A 17,992-nucleotide genomic window follows, 5' to 3' on the forward strand; every position below is an offset into this window, starting at 1 on the left:
ATCTTCAAGTCCTTAGTAATACATTTAAAATAGGGGCAAGGCAGCTCTTCTTTATAAAGTAATACTTTTTAATAAATATCGGAGGAATGAAGGAATTTAACAATAAAATTTTGCAGTCACCACGGTAATGACTGATTTAGGCAAGAATCAGCAGTGCACCTAAAATCATTGGCTGAAGAGTTAGGCACACAATCTCAAAGCATCACCCACAGGTTATTTTTAAGTATAAAGAGGAAAAGGATACACCTTGAAGAATAAATGGAAGTCAGAATTGCCCAATCATGGGACACACTAATGATGTAAAGGAAGCAGACTACAGTGCCAGGTAGTTTTCTTGTCAAAGCTGTTTAAACTTCATCTTGCTAACTTAAGATATATAAATTTAGGAAAGAAGACTTTATTTCTTGTAAAGGGTTACAGCCTGCAAGGTGGCCATCCTGCAGGCTGGGAAGTGGGCCTCCAGCAAAGACCAGAGACAGGCACTTTGAAGGAGGAGAAGTTGGATTTGGAGCTCATAGTGAATGGGTTGGCTAAACCTACTATTTGACAGTTTACAGGGAAGCTATGAATATTCCCAAACATAGACCCATGTTCATCTTGGGATAGAGACTTAACATTTAAATGTATTACTGTTAGGTTCTATGTGATCAGAGGTGCAGCAGAGACACGATGGCACTAGTCTTCAGCCTTTGCGAACCGACCAGAGCCAGTCTATGGTTGGTGATTTTCTTATCAGGAGGAGGTTACTGATTCACTGCCTTGTCCAGTCAAAACTGTAGTCATGGCTGGTGCAGCAGGGGTTCAGTTAGTCAGCATCTGTGAGCCCATGAGTCATAATTGTTTTAATATTGCTTATCTCAAGTCTAGCCCTTGTTTAGCTGCTAGAGAAAAAGAAAAAGAGAAACCTTGTGGCAGTTAGAACATAGTTTACTCTTTAAGTGTAGGAGTGGGTGACTTCACTGGCATGACCTTAGGTCCTGTTTATAATTTGGTATCTTATTGCCCCAAAGAGCCTGTTCTGTCAGTCTTCTGATCTCCATTTTAACGTGAATGCTGGTCAGTTGTTTTGTCTAAACCCCAGACGGGGGTGGGGCGGGGCAGCGGGGAGTATAACGAGGCGTGTCTGACCTTCTGTTTCATCATGAGTTTCTCTGGGGTTCCCTTGGCCAAGAGGAGGTTGGTTTGGTCAGTCGAAGAGGGGGGCTTAGATTTATTTTTTGTTTGCAATCTAATCAAGATAAAAAATTAAGCAAATCCAGAGAGTGGATGATTCTACAAGTCGACTTCAAAAAGCTAAGGTCTTGATCAGCAAATCACTGTGAGGGGACTGAAGAAGTGTGGTAGCCAGCTGTCATGTGAGGTCTTTGATTGTATCCTGAATTTATAAAACAGAAAACAGCAATGAAGATCATTTTGGTGACAACTGAAGAAATTTTAATACCATCATATTAAATATTGAATTTTTGGAGTTGTTAATGATTTTGTGGTTAATTGGAAAGTATCTTTGTTCTTGAGAGGTGCACACTGAAGCGGAAGTGATGACTGCAGCTTATTTCCCAATGTGTGTCTGCATTTATAGAGAGAAAAAAGGAGCAACAAAGTAATGTGGCAAAACATTAACAATCGGTGAATTTGGAGGGAGAGTTTATGGGTGTTCATCGTACTATTATTTCTATTTTCCTGCAAGTTTTAGATGTTTTGAAAGAAATTGGGGAATATTCAGCTGATGATTTTACAGCTACACTTGATATATTAATCTATGGAATGTGGTAAGATTGGTATAAATTACATTATTTTTATCATTTAAAGTAGACCCTAATATCACTGGCAGGAACCAAGAGTAGGTATTGATAAAACCTGTATACATTAGAACTAGTTGGAAAGTTACTAATCGGGCTGTAGCCTCCTAATGCAGAGTTTGCACACGATACACACTACAATCTTTTGTTAATCAGCGAGGTCTATGTTTTCACCAGTATTGTTCACTCAATACTAAGTAATTTCAATTCACTTAGTATCGTTTACATTTACAATTAAGTTGTTAGTATCACTTAAATTTACAATTATAATTTACACTTACAATTTACAATAATACAATTACTTAGTATTGAGTAAATACTAAGGCTGAAAGAGTTCCACCTACAAATGCCTCCTCTATGCGGATGCCAAATGTGGAGCCTATAGTTGGAGAGGTGTCAGCACCTTTCAGGAGCACTAATTCAGACCATGGCCACAGTGACTAAATTATCCAAACCTAAATGGAGCACACATCTGGCTACATGACCCAAATTTTCATCTCTTATTTATTTTTAATGGGCCAATTTTCATATTGAAGGAGAAATAAGGAGAGGTCTGAAAATTGGCTTCATTAAACAATTAAGCTCTTAAATCCTGACAGTGATGGAATATTTGGTGTAGAGAATAACAATTTTCATAGATGATGATTCCATCATAATAGAGGGCTGAAATTCCCAAAGAATTCCAAGTGAGGCCTCCAATACAGCATGCGATTGCCCATGGAGAATGTTATTCTCATCTGCAATTTGTTAGTGCTTTTCATCAACACATAATTATTTCAGCTAATAAACCAGCTAAGTATGCTCTAATGAAAAGTATCCCAAAGAGAGAGAAAGGGAATTACTAAGGTAAAGAAAGCCCTCAAGCTTCTAAGTATACAAAATTACACCTAGTTGTTTATTGAGAATGTCAATAAAACCCGCTCCTAAGCATGTGGTGCACTATTCCTAGGTGTACATCACTCAAACTATGTTCGAGAACTGATCTTTCCTCTTTCAGGTTATCGTGGAAAAGAGCCAGGGTGCAGGTGTTTCATGTTTATCCACAACTCTACTGTTTCCTAGGAGCCCTGACATCTTTATGAGTCTTTAAAAAAAGTTCTCCTCCTCACTCCAGTCCCCTGTGCTTTATCAACAACAAATGACTCTCTCCCGTTTTTACAAGGGGCCATCCACTCTCCTGCGTTCTTCTCATACTTCTTCGTTCCCTCTACCATACCTAATTATCAGTGCTTTTGAAGACCCAAAGCCCCTTTTTATAGTAGAGTGCCTTCACATCAGGGAGGAATATCAGCTGACTTTTTAATAGTGCAAAATGCAAATCATAAGCCCTCCTTACACTCTCATATGGCGCTCCGGCTTGCTTGCGAAGATTGGCACAATCCCATCACTGATCAATACTGATGTTCCCGGTGAGTCATCTTTCTGTATAAGAAACCACACTGAGACTTGGTGGCTTCAACATCAACAACCATCGATTTGTTCATGATTGCGCAATTTGGGCAGGGCTTGCGGGGACAGCTTGTCTCTTTTCTGTGTGCCATTAGTGGGGCAGCTCAAATGTGGCTGCATCATCCATGTCCACATGGCCTCCTCATGAGGCTGGCCTTCTGGTGCTGGCAGTTGGTGAGGGACTCTGCCAGGGGTATTGACAAGGGGGCTTCAGCTTTCCTCTGTGTGGCCTCCCCATGTGGCTAGGGTGGGCTTCTCACAGCATGGCAGTCTCAGAATAATGAGGCTTTTTATATGGCTGCTGGCTTCCCCCCAGAACCGAAAAAGTGGAAGCCTCCAGCCTTCTTAAGGTTTAGGCCTGGACCTGGCAAAGCGTCACTTCCACCACGTTCTTCTGGTTAAGGTGAATCACAAGAGACCAGATTCAAGGGGAGGAATGACACGAGGATGTGAATACCAGCAGGTGACATTTATTGGGGGCCATCAATGTGTCAAATTACCACATCATTCGACTCATCAAGAAAAGATTGAATTCAGACCAACACATTGTGTGAGAAATGTGTATGATCACTACAAAGTTTTGCATTTAAAATGCTAACATTTAAAAAATAACATGTACTGTTTCAGGGGTAGTGTTTTCAGGTCCCGTATGGAGACATGAAGTAACTGCTTCCTCATTGATTCTGGATGCTGAGTCATGGCTGTCCATGCCTCATGCTGCAGACGCAGTTTCAGGCTTGTCACTTTGGGTCTGACTAGTCAACAAGTACAGTGGGCAGGTGTGGGGGTCCCTACTCTCCACCCAGGCTGAGGGTCAGGGTCAGACAAGCTTTGATGATAGAGAACAGATGAGGGCAGTGAGACCAATGTGCTGGAAGAAGGGAGGCCCCAGTGACGCACACCAGTAATGGCTGGAGAAAACCAAAAAGACCAGTCTGCAAGGGAATGAAAGGGGAAGGAGGTCACGTCAGCAGCAGAGTAGAAGCAGCTGTTTCTGTTTCTTGCCTTCCACCAACAAAGAGAGAGCTATGGATCTTCCTTTCAAATCACCGCAGCTCCGTTCCTTCTTCTGTTTGAAGGGAGGATTTAGGCTCATGTAAGAAGGCTGGGAGAATTCTGGTGTCCAGGATGTTGAACTGGCATGTTGAAGGGAAGAGTTGGGGTTATTGGCCAATGTGCCCAAAGGGATGGCTCCACCCCCTCGCCAAAGCCACACTAGGAATAAGATGGCCATGCATTTTACTCCTGGATGTCTTAGGCCCCTGAGTACTGCATGAAGGAATATGCACTCCAATTTGATTTTGAGTCCTGTAGGGCCCTCTTTTCTAGGATTCCCAATGAATGTAACAATGTAGCACTGGCACCTTTACCTCCTCCCCTCGATGAGTCAGCAGGTGAAGCTGGTAAACACTATCTGCCAAAGGATTTCATGTTGCTTCCAGGTTTGAAATCTTGTCTCACTGATACAGTTCTATTGTATGTATGCTAAAATGTTAGACTAGCCAGGATGGTTCAATAACTTATGGGGAGAGTGAGCTGAAATATTTGATTTTATTTTTATTTTATTTTTCTGAGGCAGGTTCTCACTCTGTTGCCCAGGCTGGAGTGCAGTGATGTGATCATAGCTCACTGCAGCCTCAGTCTCCCTGGCTCAAGTGATCCTCCTGCCTCAGCCTCCCAAGTAGATGTGACTACAGGTGTGTACCACCACACCTGGCTAATTTTTAAAATTTATTTTTCATAGAGATGGGGCTGCGCTGTGTTGCGCAGGCTAGTCTCAAACTCCTGGGCTCAAGTGATCCTCCCACCTTGGCCTCCCAAAGTGCCAGGATTACGGGAGAGAGCCATGAGTCCCAGCCTGGACTATTTTAAATAAAGGCAATATTTAGGAAGTCCGGCCTAGGGGATTGGACCCAGGGGCTAGCCCAGGAGTGTAGAATGACTTAAACAATAGTGAATATGAAGGAACGTATTATCAGTCCTGGAGAAAACAGTGATGGGAATGAATTTCTGTGGGTGTAGGAAGCTGGGTGACTGAGTGCTGTCATCTGTAGGCAGGCATGTCCTGCTCTGTAGGTGAGTCCCCTCTTCTGATATACAGGTGCTTCATACCAACCACAGCTACCGTCTCCTGCTGATGAGGACAGACAGGAAGGGAAGCATCTGGAGGGACTGATCCTGCTTCTTTGGTTAAACTCTGACAGATACATTCAAAAATAAAAAAGACATTGCAGAAAATTTATCTCCAGCAGAACTGTGCTACAAGAAATACCAGAAGTCCTTTTTTTTTTTTTTTTTTTGAGACAGAGTCTTGCTCTGTCGCCCAGGCTGGAGTGCAGTGGCTCGATCTCGGCTCACTGCAAGCTCCGCCTCCCGGGTTCACGCCATTCTTCTGCCTCAGCTTCCCGAGTAGCTGGGACTACAGGCGCCCGCCACCATGCCTGGCTAATTTTTTGTATTTTTAGTAGAGACGGGGTTTCACCATGTTAGCCAGGATGGTCTCGATCTCCTGACCGCGTGATCCGCCCGCCTTGGCCTCCCAAAGTGCTGGGATTACAGGCGTGAGCCACCGTGCCCGGCCTAGAAGTTCTTCTTTAACCTGAAGGGAAATGACACAGCTGGAATCCAGAAATTATTTCCTCTAGAAAACGGAGGAAGAGGGAATACTTCAGGAGCAAGAGGGAATTACTTCATTTATGAGATCAACATAACCTTGATACAAAAATGAAACCAAGACATTGCAATAAAAGAAAATCGCAGACATTAGTATCCCTCATGAACATAGACATGAAAATCCTTGACAAAAATCTTAGCAAACCAAAATGCACACATTTATAAAAGGGTGACATATCCTGATTTAATAGGGGTTATCCCAGGAATTCATGGATGGTATTGAATGAATTTAACATTCAAAAACTCAATCAATATAATTTACCAGATTTTCAACAGTTAAATATATTTTAGAAGTTAAATATAATCATCCCAGTAGATGCAGTGAAAGTATTTGGCAAAATTCAACATATATTCATGATAAAAACTCTCCACAAACTAGGAATGTATTGTAGATTAGTTGCAGAATTAGGAAAAGTAAACTTACACACAGACCAGATGCAACATTTCAAGTATCTAAAAATTGAGGGGGGTGGGAAGGAAGCTTAAAAGTCACATAGTCTTTATCCTTGCGTTTGAGAGCCTCCCAGCAACCTTGAGGCAAACTATCATATTCATATAAAAGTTCAAGGACCCACAACTCTAAAGAGAGATTTCAAATCCTCAAAGCATGCTCAGCTAATAGCTGTTGAGTTAATTAGGAGGACTAAGATTAGAATATTAAATCTTTGAAGAAAATGTAATGGTATGGTTTAATTCAGAGAAGAGGTTGAGGAGTAAGCTTATAACACTTTTCAAAGCTGAAATGAGCTAAGCACTTGGATCAGTGTTCCCCAAATGAAAGGATGAAAGGATTCACCTGGAACCCTTGTTTAAGGATCACACGCCCAGGTCTCTACTCTGCAGACTGGGATTTTGAGGTGGGGCAACTGTTCCTGTTGAATTGTCATTATCGGCTAAGTCTGAGAAACTCTAGATTTAGATGCACCAAAAAATGCCTATGGCAGTAATGTCCCTGTGAAAGTGTTTAAGATAGGTATGTTTGTTTTATCATTAAGTACAATATTTGGGTTTAGTTTTGATAGATACTCTTTATTGGCCGGACACGGTGGCTCATGCCTTTAAATCCCAGCAGTTTGGGAGGCCAAAGTAGGTGGATTGCTTGAGCTCAGGACCTCAAGGCCAGCCTGGGCAACATGGTGAAACCCCGTCTCTAAAAAGAAAAGAAAAGAAAAGAAAAAATGTAGCTGGGTATGTGAGTAAGATATGTGAGTCTTAGTAGTTGTCTGAAAATGTTCCATTGCCACCTTTCAGGTAGGATCAAGCATCAGAGTCTCAAAGGCAGTATTACCAGTATGGAAAAAAAATCCCATAGACAGTAACAGAGCTCTTTCTTAGCAATGCCGTGTTTCCAACCCTCCTGATGTCACAGAAGATGAGAATGTTTGGAAAAACATGAACATTGATGGCTCTGAGTCTTGAAGAAATCCCAAAGCATGCACCTATAATCCCAGCTACTTGGGGGCTGAGGTGAGAGGATCACTTGAGCCCGGGAGGTCGAGGCTGCAGTGAGCCGTGTTTGCACCACTGCGCTCTAGCCTGGGCAACGAAGTGAGACTTTGTCTCAAAAAAAAAAAAAAAAAAAAAAAAAAAAAAAAAAAACCAACAACAAAGAAAACCTATTTATTAAGGGAATTTCCATGCATTCCTGTTGTACTAAAATATTGCTTTCGAAAAAGAAAATCAAGACGTTGAATTATGTATAATGCCTCTTAGTTTCCATAGATATGTTTTTTCTAATTTTATAATAAAGGAATACAATAAATTATATTTTAGAAATTTTCAAGGTTGAGCCATCCTAGAATAAATTGACTTGATCTTGATTTATTCTACTTTTAGTAAACATGTAAGATTTGATAATATATATGTAAGATCTTTGCAATACTAGCCATAAAGTGGGATCATTTGATCATTTTCCTCCAGAAAATGGAGGAAGAGGGAATACTTCAAGAGGAAGAGGGAATGACTTCATCTGTGAGATCAACATAACCTTGATATAAAAATGAAACCAAGACATTGCAAGAAAAGAAAATCACAGACATCAGTATCCCTCATGAACATAGACATGAAAATCCTTGACAAAAATCTTAGCAAACCATCTGTGCCATCTTCCTCAGGTTCAGTAATCAGAGCTATGGAGGCTACCATAAAAAAGAAAAATTCCCAATTTTTTTCCTATGCACAATCATAAGAAAAGATCCTTTAAGTTTACTAGAACACAAATTTTAGGGGCTAGGGTTATGGTTAGAACACGTTGCTTAGGATGTTTAGAAGCAGACATGTGATGCCTCTCCATGTTTTCTGTGCTGCTCTATCTGGTCAGGTTTTTTTCTAAGTTTAGTAACTATGATGACCAAAAGAGGAGTAGTGGCTGTGACCCTTCTTAACATCGAGGAGACCTATGGTAATATTTCTACCCACAAATGACATTGTGCATTAAAAGATTTCATCTACCAAACCGATTGCTTTCATTAAGGAAAAACAAATAAATTCCTCCACTTTATTAATGATATCTGAGTACACAAAACTCAGTAGCAACAGAAATGATAACCCACAGCAGTAAGCAAGTATAAAAATAGGCAGTAAACTGGCTAAACCCCAGGCTCATGAAAAGAAACAGACCATTCTAGTTAGCCTCTGCAGACTTATTATTTATAAATGTTTTGTTTCCATTAAGCTTTAGGAAAGATTGAAAATAACTCCCAGGCTGCTAAAATTACTATTGTTGCACTTTCAAGGATCAAAAGACTCCATGTTGAGGAAATTTCACAATTCTATTCTGATAAAAACAGAGGCGAAATGTAAAGTAGCAACGGGCTTCCTGGGAGAACTCTCTCCCACGGTTTTAATAGGCTGGTTAGGATGTGCTCGACAGCTACCTGGCTGGCTGGAGACATGCTTCCCACAGGCTAACCAAGTGCATACAGTGAAGGTGGATGGTGGTGTCTGTTCATCTCGGAAGAGCCCAGGATCAAACTATCACTCCCTAGTCACCCTGTGGTCTCTGCCATGTTTCCACAGATCTCTAAAGTTGCTTAACCCTGATTTATGCAGTGCTGAACATCTCTTTCAGCGTTAGAACTGAATATTACCACCTCTGATGATTTCTCAAGGAAGCAGTAGATATGACAGTAACTGTCATTGAGATGGTGAGGCAAAGGTGGGGGTGAGGAGTGTGGGAAGAAAATTCCATGGTCCTCACTGGCTGGGGAATAGTGGCTGCAGTGACCACCTGTCTGTGGCTACCCAAAAGCACAAGTGAGATTTGAGCATCCTCTCTCAGTGGTTTTTCATGGCCAGTATTTCTCCAACCTTAATGCCCATAGAAACCATCTGAGGGTCTTGTGAAAAGACAGTTCTGATTCAGTAGGCCTGGAGCAGGACCCGAGACTGCATTTCTAATAAGCTGCTGAAGCTGCTGGTCTGTAGTCCACTGTGTGAGAAGCAAGGCTCTAGTCCGCATAGGGCTCCAACCAGCCCGATTCCTGAAATTTGGAGGAGCCCAATGGGAGGCAGAAGCAAGCCTTAGGAAAAGCAAAGTCCCTCCACTGAATTTCAAAAGCCAACATGAAAGAGACAAAATGGACTGGCCTCTTCCTGTCAAGGCAGAAATCTCAGCAATGAATTCTCAGATGCAGGCCTCAAGAGGCCTTCTTCAGCTGGATGAGTTGACTCATTCCTGTATCTCAGCACTTTGGGAGGCCAAGGCAGGAGGATCACTTGAGCCCAAGAGTTTGAGACCAGGCTGAGCAACACAGGGAGACCCCATTTTTCTACCAAAAAAAATTTTTTTTAATTAGTTGGGCATAGTGGCATGTGCCTGTGGTCCCAGCTAGTCAGGAGGCTGAGGCAGGAGGATCCCTTGAGCTTAGGAGGTCAAGGCTGCAATGAACTATGATTGTGCCACTGCACCCTAGCCTGGGCAATAGGGCAAGACTCTGGAAGCAAAAAAAAAAAAGGCCTTCATTGATCATTGCCACCAGAAGTTTACCTGCCCTGAGGAGTCAACTTTGAATCCCTCACTGATTTTGCATATTTGTTTTTTATTTTATTAATATCTGTTCTCACCTTCACTGTTTCCTTCTTTTTATGTTCTTTGGGTTGATTTTTATTTTATTAATTTCGTTTTTTCTTCTATCCTACCTAGTACAGCGCTTTCATTTAAGACTAAAATTTTTTCTCTTAAGTTCATTTAAAAATACTTTCCAACTGCCATTATGATTTCTTATTTGACTTGTTGGTTATTTAGAATCATAATTCTCATGTTAAAATATTAAGGGTTTTCCAGTTATCTTTTTGTTATAGACTTCTATCATAGATTATGATCAGACAGCACACTCTGGAATTATACGGTCCTTTCAAATGTGTTGAGACTTACTCTCAGGTGCACAAGGTGGGAAATTTCTGTCAATGTTCCATGTGTGCATGAAAATATTTTATATTCTGGAGTATTTTACTCTATTTCAATGATTTTAAGACACATGCAAAATTTGGGACACATTTTATAATCACAGAGGAACAAACGACCACCTGTGACGTTGTCATTGCCTGTGCACATATGAATGTCTACATGTATGGTGTATGACACAGCAACTGCAACCTCTTCACCTTCTAGTTGTCAGATCGTTTAAGGACCATTTGAGGAAGATATGTGAGTCTTAGTAGTTGTCTGAAAATGTTCCATTGCCACTTTTCAGGTAGGATCAAGCATCAGAGTCTTAAAGTCAGTATTACCGGTTTGGGAAAAAAACCCCATAGACAGTAACAGAGCTCTTTCTTAGCAATGCCGTGTTTCCAACCCTCCTGATGTCAAAGAGGATGAGAATGTTTGGAAAAACATGAACATTGATGGCTCTGAGTCTTGAAGAAATCCCAAAGCAAATAATTCTCAAAGACATTTCAGAAATAGCTAATACAATTTATTTCTCTTATATTCCCCTTTAAAAATATGCACAAGAACAACATAATTAAATATAAAGGAGCTTCCTCAATCAGTGTGGTCTAACAATGTCAAGTGATGAGAAATCATTGTGTCTCAGTTAACATGGTTCTCTTTTTTCTTAGTGCCTCATAAAATAATAGTGTGTCTTCCAGTCAAGGACTTCTTAGATTCAAGGAACTATGTCATATCTGTCTGTAGGTCAAGTTTGTGGATCATGTTGATTAAATATTCTTTCCTCTGGATTTTTTGGTTGTCATTATTCTGTCAATTACCGCAAAATATATAGTAAAATCTCCTACTGTGGTTGTGAATTACTGTGGCTCTATGAGGTTATGTGGTTCTATCAATTTTTGCTTTAAGTATTTTGAGGCTGCGGGTCCAGTTACGTAGTGATTCTCATTGTCTCTAATTGTGTGTTTTTCCCTCAAAGTATACATTGTATTTGCCTGGTATTAGTACAGCTATACCAATTTTATTTTGTTTAATGATAACTGGATTTCTTTTTTCATCCTTTATTTCAACCCTTCTGTCTCCTTAGATTTACAATATATCTGTCATTTTGTTCCACCTGTTCTGGGTTCTTTTCCATTGTTTTCTTATCTCATTCATATTGAAAGAGTCTTTTGTTAGGCTGGGCATGGTGGCTCACGCCTGTAATCCCAGCACTTTTGGAGACCAAGGCGGGAGGATCACCTGAGGTCAGGAGTTCAATACCAGCCTGGCCAACATGGCGAAAACCTGTCTCTACTAAAAATACAAAAATTACCTGGGCGTGGTGGCACCTGTAATCTCAGCTACTCAGGAGGCTGAGGCAGGGAGAATTGCTTGAACCCGGGAGGCTGAGGTTGCAGTGAGCGAAGATCGCTCCACTGCACTCCAGCCTGGGTGACAGAGCAAGACTCTGTCTAAAAAACGAAAAGAATCTTTTGTTTTATTTTGCCATCACGTAATACATCTATGTAAAACAATCTTTTTATTTCGTTTTTCTCTGTTTTAGTTTGAAAGTTATACACTCTTTTTCTCTTCTATTAATGGTTATTTTGGAAATGACAGAATACATCTTGGACTTACCTAGATCTAATATCAACTGTTACTCTTTCCCTTCTCCCAGCCAGTGCAAGAAGCCCAGGACATTTATCTCCATTTATCCCCTCCATTCTTTTTTTTAAAGTTCTGGGGTACATGTGCAGGATGTATAGGTTTGTTATATAGGTAAATGTGTGCCATGGTGGTTTGCTGCACCTATCAACCCATCACCTAGGTATTAAACCTGTCATGCATTAGCTATTTTTCCTGATGCTCTGCCCCCCAACAGGCCCTGTGTGTGTTGTTCCGCTCAACATCACTGATCATTAGAGGATTGCAAGTCAAAACCACAATGAGATACCTTCTCACACCAGTCAGAATGGCGATCATTAGAAAGTCAAGAAACAACAGATGCTGGTGAAGTTGCAGAGAAATAGGAACACTTTTACAATGTTGTTAGGAGTGTAAATTAGTTCAACCATTGTGGAAGGCAGTGTGGCGATTCCTCAAAGATTTAGAACCAGAAATACCATTTGACCCAACAATCCCATTACTGGGTATCTACCCAAAGGAATATACATCATTCTATTATAAAGATACATGCACATGTATGTTCACTGCAACACTGTTCACAATAGCAAAGACATAGAATCAACCCAAATGCCCATCAGTGATAGACTGGATAAAGAAAATGTGGTACATATGCACAATGGAATACTATGCAGCCATAAAAAAGGAACAAGATCATGTTCAAAAATATAGGCACTGCGGTGAGACCCACATAGGCTGGGGTGGATCAGCCCCTGCCTACCTGGCAATGAAGACCCAATGACTCGTGGTAGGTAGAGCACAGACAGCGCTGCATAGGAAATGGTGCAGGCATTAAAGCTTCCATTGGTGGTGTCCTGGAGAGAGGAAGTGCATTAACTCGTGTGATATGCCAAGGGTTTGGGAAAAGTGGGGGAAATACTAACCATAACGAAAAGGGGATTGGTTGGCTATTGCTAAACTTGATTGACCTTTGGGAAAGAAAATAAAAAAGCTGGGATAATCAATTAGCAACTAACAGCTAAGAATGAATGCAGAAGCCTTCTTTGGTCATGAATAGAGAAATTCTCACCTCCTGCACTGAAAAGGAAGGGAGGGTTGAGTGCCAGGGTCAGACCTCCCTTGAGAGTGGCAGAGCTCCAAATGAGGTGGATTCCCACCAAGGTGACACTGTTATGTCAAGGTGAGGCCATGGCTGGGAAAGAACGGGACCCAGCATAGAGGATGGGGACATCTGGATTAATGCTTCCTAAAATATCAAATCTCCAGATTCCCCTGAACCTCTGAGCTTGCACACAGGAACCTCGGTCCTGCCTACCCTTTGTTGAAGATGACTTAGGGTCCTCTCCTCCCGATACCTGTGCCTTCCTCAGGATCTGCCTCTACCTCCCTTCCTGGATACCAGACCAGTAAGTAGGTTAAATCACAACACAAACCAGCCTGGAACTGTTGGGCCTGAAAGGGGAGGAAGGCAACTGTACCCTAAAGAAACCAGAGGATCTAGCAGCAGATGCTGCCTGGAGCTATAAGAATGCACCTATATAAGGAATTGGAGGGTGCTTGGTCAAGGGAGCCAGAGCAGAAGGTTGAATAAGAGACGGTTATTTGAGTTAGTTATTTCCCCAATAACTCTCTTTTTATGTCTAATCTCTTGGCATCTGCTTCTTAGAAGACCCAAACTCAACACAGAACTGCGTCAAAGTTCCACTTCTTCCTCTGCCACCCATGCTGGTCCCCTCCCCTTCCATGGTTGTTAATCCCAAGAGCACTCCTCCTAAGTCTTGAAGCTCATCTCCATCCTGGGTCTATTTCCTGGGGAGCCAGCATCGGACGGCTGCACTGCAAAGGCCTTTGTTTCTGTACTGTCTGGACTGTCTCCATCCTGCTTTCTCATTCTTTCCTAAGCTTTCACAGCTTACTTTAAATCTTCTTCTGTTATATTATTGTCTCTTCTTTGATGTCTTACAGATCTCCTCTGAGTTCTTACTTCACTGTGATTATGCTTCCTTTGATTTCCGTGAGTTCATGGAGAAATGTTAATTCACATTTTCTTTTACTTCTGATGTATATTATTCCTCTGTCTTTGTTTGTTGTCATTGTTCTCTTTTTGGGGAATTATTGTTCATGTTAATGAGGATTTGCTAAGAGCTGTGTGGGGAAGGGACAGATTGAGGTGGGGCGGTCTCCTGAACTCAGGGGTTCTGGAAGGACTTTCTCATGGATGCAGTGTCCTCTGTGCAAGGACCCAGTGTCTGCTCACTAATCTCAATGGGCCATTCCAAGGAAAGCAGGCCCATGTGGTTTGTAGCAAAGCCTGGATGTTCGAGTATATTTGGGGTAATAGAGCAGCTCATACTAAGCTGACTGCCACATGCTTTGCAGAAATTCTAGGCATCTTGATGATCTCCCCCCCGCCTGGCTCATCCAAAATGCCAGGTGTGGACACCCTAGCCAGGACCCTTGATTGCACCCCTTAGGGCTGTGCTACCCTTTTATGGGAAACTGTCAGCTGGAAATGACCTGTGGGGTTGCATATGCTTCTTGGTGTTATGTCCCAGTGTGATCCAAAATGTATTGTCTTTTGCAGTTATTATTTTTAACCTATGGTTTTGCATGTATTTTCAAGGAAATTGGTTTCTTCTCTATTGCTCATTCTTTTTGTCATTTTCAGTTGGCCATTGGGGAAGGAAGTGAATCTGGATTAGAATTCTAAAATAATTTTTTTTTTCTTTGAGACAGGATCTCACTCTGTCACCCAGGCTAGAGTGCAGTGGTGCATTCTTGGCTCACTGCAACCTCTGCATCCAGGGCTCAAGCAATCCTCCAACCTCAGTCTCCAAAGTAGCTGGAACCAAAAGTGTGCACCACCATGCTGGGCTAATTTTTTTTTTTTTTTTGTATTTTTGGTAGAGACAAGTTTTCGCCACATTGTCCAAGCTGGTCTTGAACTCCTGAGCTCAAGTGATCCACTCGCCTCGGCCTCCCAAAGTGCTGGAATTACAGGTATGAGCCACCGTGCCCAGCCTACATCTTATTCTTTTAAAAAAATCCAATTTAACACCTTAACCACATAGCTGTATATTTAAAATATGTTAATTAGTAAGATATTAGCAACCCAAATCACAAGAGATACAGAATAAAGAGAAAGGTACTGAAAGCATGAAAAAAAGGTACTTAAAGCATTTAAACACAGACATCATTTTTTAAATCATGAGTTAGAAAATTAGATATGAAAAAGAAAAAAAGGTTAGTTTGGGATTGCTTCAGAGACACAAAACTAGTTAAAAACACACTGGTCCCAGCTATGTTCATAGTGTTCTCCATTGCTCATAAAAACTGCCTTCAAGAAGTGGTGATGATGTAGTTCTGGGGGAGAAGCAGCCGATGCAATGGTAAGCAGACTCCCCCACGTATGAAGTCATCTGCATTGCGTGGCTGGATGAACATCTGCCACATAAACTCTGCGTTGGTTGCAGTGTGCCACAAAAACATTCTTTGTTTCTCTCTGACCCCAGCTCTCATTTTGTGAGGTGAAGATTGGTTGACATAATGAGAACTTTCTGAAGTCATTTCACTGAGGACATTTAATACAACTTCTTTGCAAGCGATGTCATAGACTTCAGTGTCTTTGTCTGGCATGTGCTGTTGCTGCAACATGATTCACAGTGGATGGCGGGGGAGGAGCTGCAGGCGGCAGAGAGTAATCAAGCACTCATTTACGCGCCTCCTTCCTTTCGTCTTATCAAGCAGCTAAATGCCAGCTCAGAATCAGCCCACGCCACAGTCGTTTTCTGGACTTTCACTATTAAAATGTCCACTTACATAGGAAGAAAAAAGACAGTGACTCAAATCAGACTCAATGCCTGGTTTATAAATTAAGAAACAGCTATTTTGGCCCCCCAAAAGAAAACTACTTCTCTTTTCTCTTTTTTCAGAAATGCAAACTATGAGTTTTATGAAAACTACAATTTCATTTTATGAAAGGGTAGTCAATTCCATTACGTCTTTCAAACCCATTGGCAAAACGTGTAAAAAGAATTGGGGTTAAAGTGGGAAAAATCTTACCCAGTTCTGGATTTTAAAGCAATCACAAATTAGTACAATGTGAACTAAAGAAGAGCCCAAAGCTTTTGGTTCTAAGGAATTAGAGAATCTTTCTGTTTCCACTAAAGTGAAAGCATGTTCCAATGATGAACCTCCAGCTGCATAGGTGACAGTCTTTCCTTATTCAATCCCTGAATTTACCTTACATAGTAGGTGGACGGCCACCCAAAGATATCAGGTCCTAGTCCCTGGAACCAGTAAATGTTACCTTATAAAGAAAAAGGGTCTTGGCAGATGTGGTTAAGAATCTTGACATGAGGAGGTTATCCTGGATTATCTGGATGGGCTGTAAATGCCATCACAAGTGTCGGTAAAAGACGGGGAGATGACACACGCAGAAGAGAAGGCCATGTGAAGACAGAGGTGGAGACTGCAGTGATCTGGCCACAAGCAAAGGAATGCAAGCAGCACTGCAAATTGGCAGGGAAACCTTGATTTCAGCCTACTGAAACTGATACTGAACTTCTGACCTCCTGAACTGTGAGAGAATACATTTCTGTTTTTTTTTGTTTTTTTTTTTTGAAATGGAGCTTCACTCTGTCACCCAGGCTGGAGTGCAGTGGCGCAATCTCAGCTCACTGCAACCTCTGCCTCCCCAGTTCAAGTGATTCTCCTGCCTCAGCCTCCTGAGTAGCTGGGATTACAGATGCCCGCCACCATGCTGGGCTAATTTTTGTATTTTTAGTAGAGACCGATTTCACCATGTTGGCCAGGCTGGTCTTGAACTCCTGACCTCAAGTGATCAGCCAGCCTCAGCCTCCCGAAGTGCTGGGATTACAGGCATGAGCCACCGTGCCCAGCCCATTTCTGTTGCCTTAAGCCACCAGGTTTGTGGTAATTTGCCATGGTAACAGCAGGACATTAATACACCTATTTCTATGGAAATATGGCATGGCTTTATTCAATCCTCTCTTATCACTTAATTAAATCATGGATATCCCAAAAATTGAAGTATAAAACTTAAATCAAGTATTTCCTAGAATTTGCCGATTTAACGTTGAAAATTTTCTTTTGCCAAGTGCATGTAAAAACCAGCCTGGGATGATATTGTGCCAGTGTCAGTTTCCTGGTTTGATCATGTACTCGAGTTATGCAAGTTGCCGCCATTGGAGGACGCTGGGAAAGTGTACCCAGGCCTTTTCTGTTCTGCTTTTTGATCTTCTTATGAGTCTATACTCATTTCAAAATAAGAAGTTAAAATAAAACCCTTTTCTTTGGCCTGTCTTTTGTTTCTTCACCTTTTATATTGGACAATGATTGATTGCTGGTAGCTTCAGAGTTGAGCTGTGAAAAATGAAACAGTTCATTTGCTTTTCAAGAAAAAATTATTCACACCAGTGGTTTATAAAGTGCTAGAAGATTTCATATTCAAGTTTCCCAGAAACAAAAGTAGAGAGTGAACAGATAGAGGATGCTGGCTGCTGTGCAAGCACGTGCCAGGCATGGGGCACAATGTGCCCACTCTGCGCTCTTACCAGCTCTGATAGTGTGGTGGTTAATCAGGCTGTTGTTCAAAGCTGGAAGCTGGTGAGGAAGAAGGAAGCAAGTCCCACTGAGAGGTGAAGCCAGCTGGACTTCCTGGGTGGAGTGGGGACTTGGAGATCTTTTCTGTCTTACAAGAGGATTGTAAAATGCACCAATCTGCACTCTGTAAAAATGCACCAATCAGCGCTCTGTAGCTAGCTAGAGGTTTGTAAAATGCACCAATCAGCGTTCTGTAAAATGGACCAATCAGCACTCTGTAAAATGGACCAATCAGCACTGTGTAAAATGGACAAGTCAGCAGGACATGGGCAGGGACAAATAAGGGAATAAAAGCTGGCCACCCCAGCCAGCAGCAACCAGCTGCGGGACCGTTCAGTTCCTCTTCCACTGGTTGTGGAAGCTTTGTTCTTTTGCTCTTCACAATAAATCTTGCTGCTGCTCACTCTTTGGGTCTGTGCCATCTTTAAAA

General features: G+C 41.7%; 1 annotated feature.

Annotated features, from left to right (window-relative positions):
- Positions 14,933 to 16,132: an enhancer, noted in NCBI's record as "BRD4-independent group 4 enhancer chr9:94277032-94278231 (GRCh37/hg19 assembly coordinates)". NCBI's record gives its function as "activates an origin of replication core promoter dependent on BRD2, P300/CBP, MED14 and CDK7 cofactors, and independent of BRD4, by STARR-seq in HCT116 cells {active_cell/tissue: HCT116}" and the evidence as "EXISTENCE:reporter gene assay evidence [ECO:0000049][PMID:35650434]".

Source organism: Homo sapiens, chromosome 9 (genome assembly GCF_000001405.40).
Source record: "Homo sapiens chromosome 9, GRCh38.p14 Primary Assembly".
NCBI lineage: Eukaryota > Metazoa > Chordata > Mammalia > Primates > Hominidae > Homo > Homo sapiens.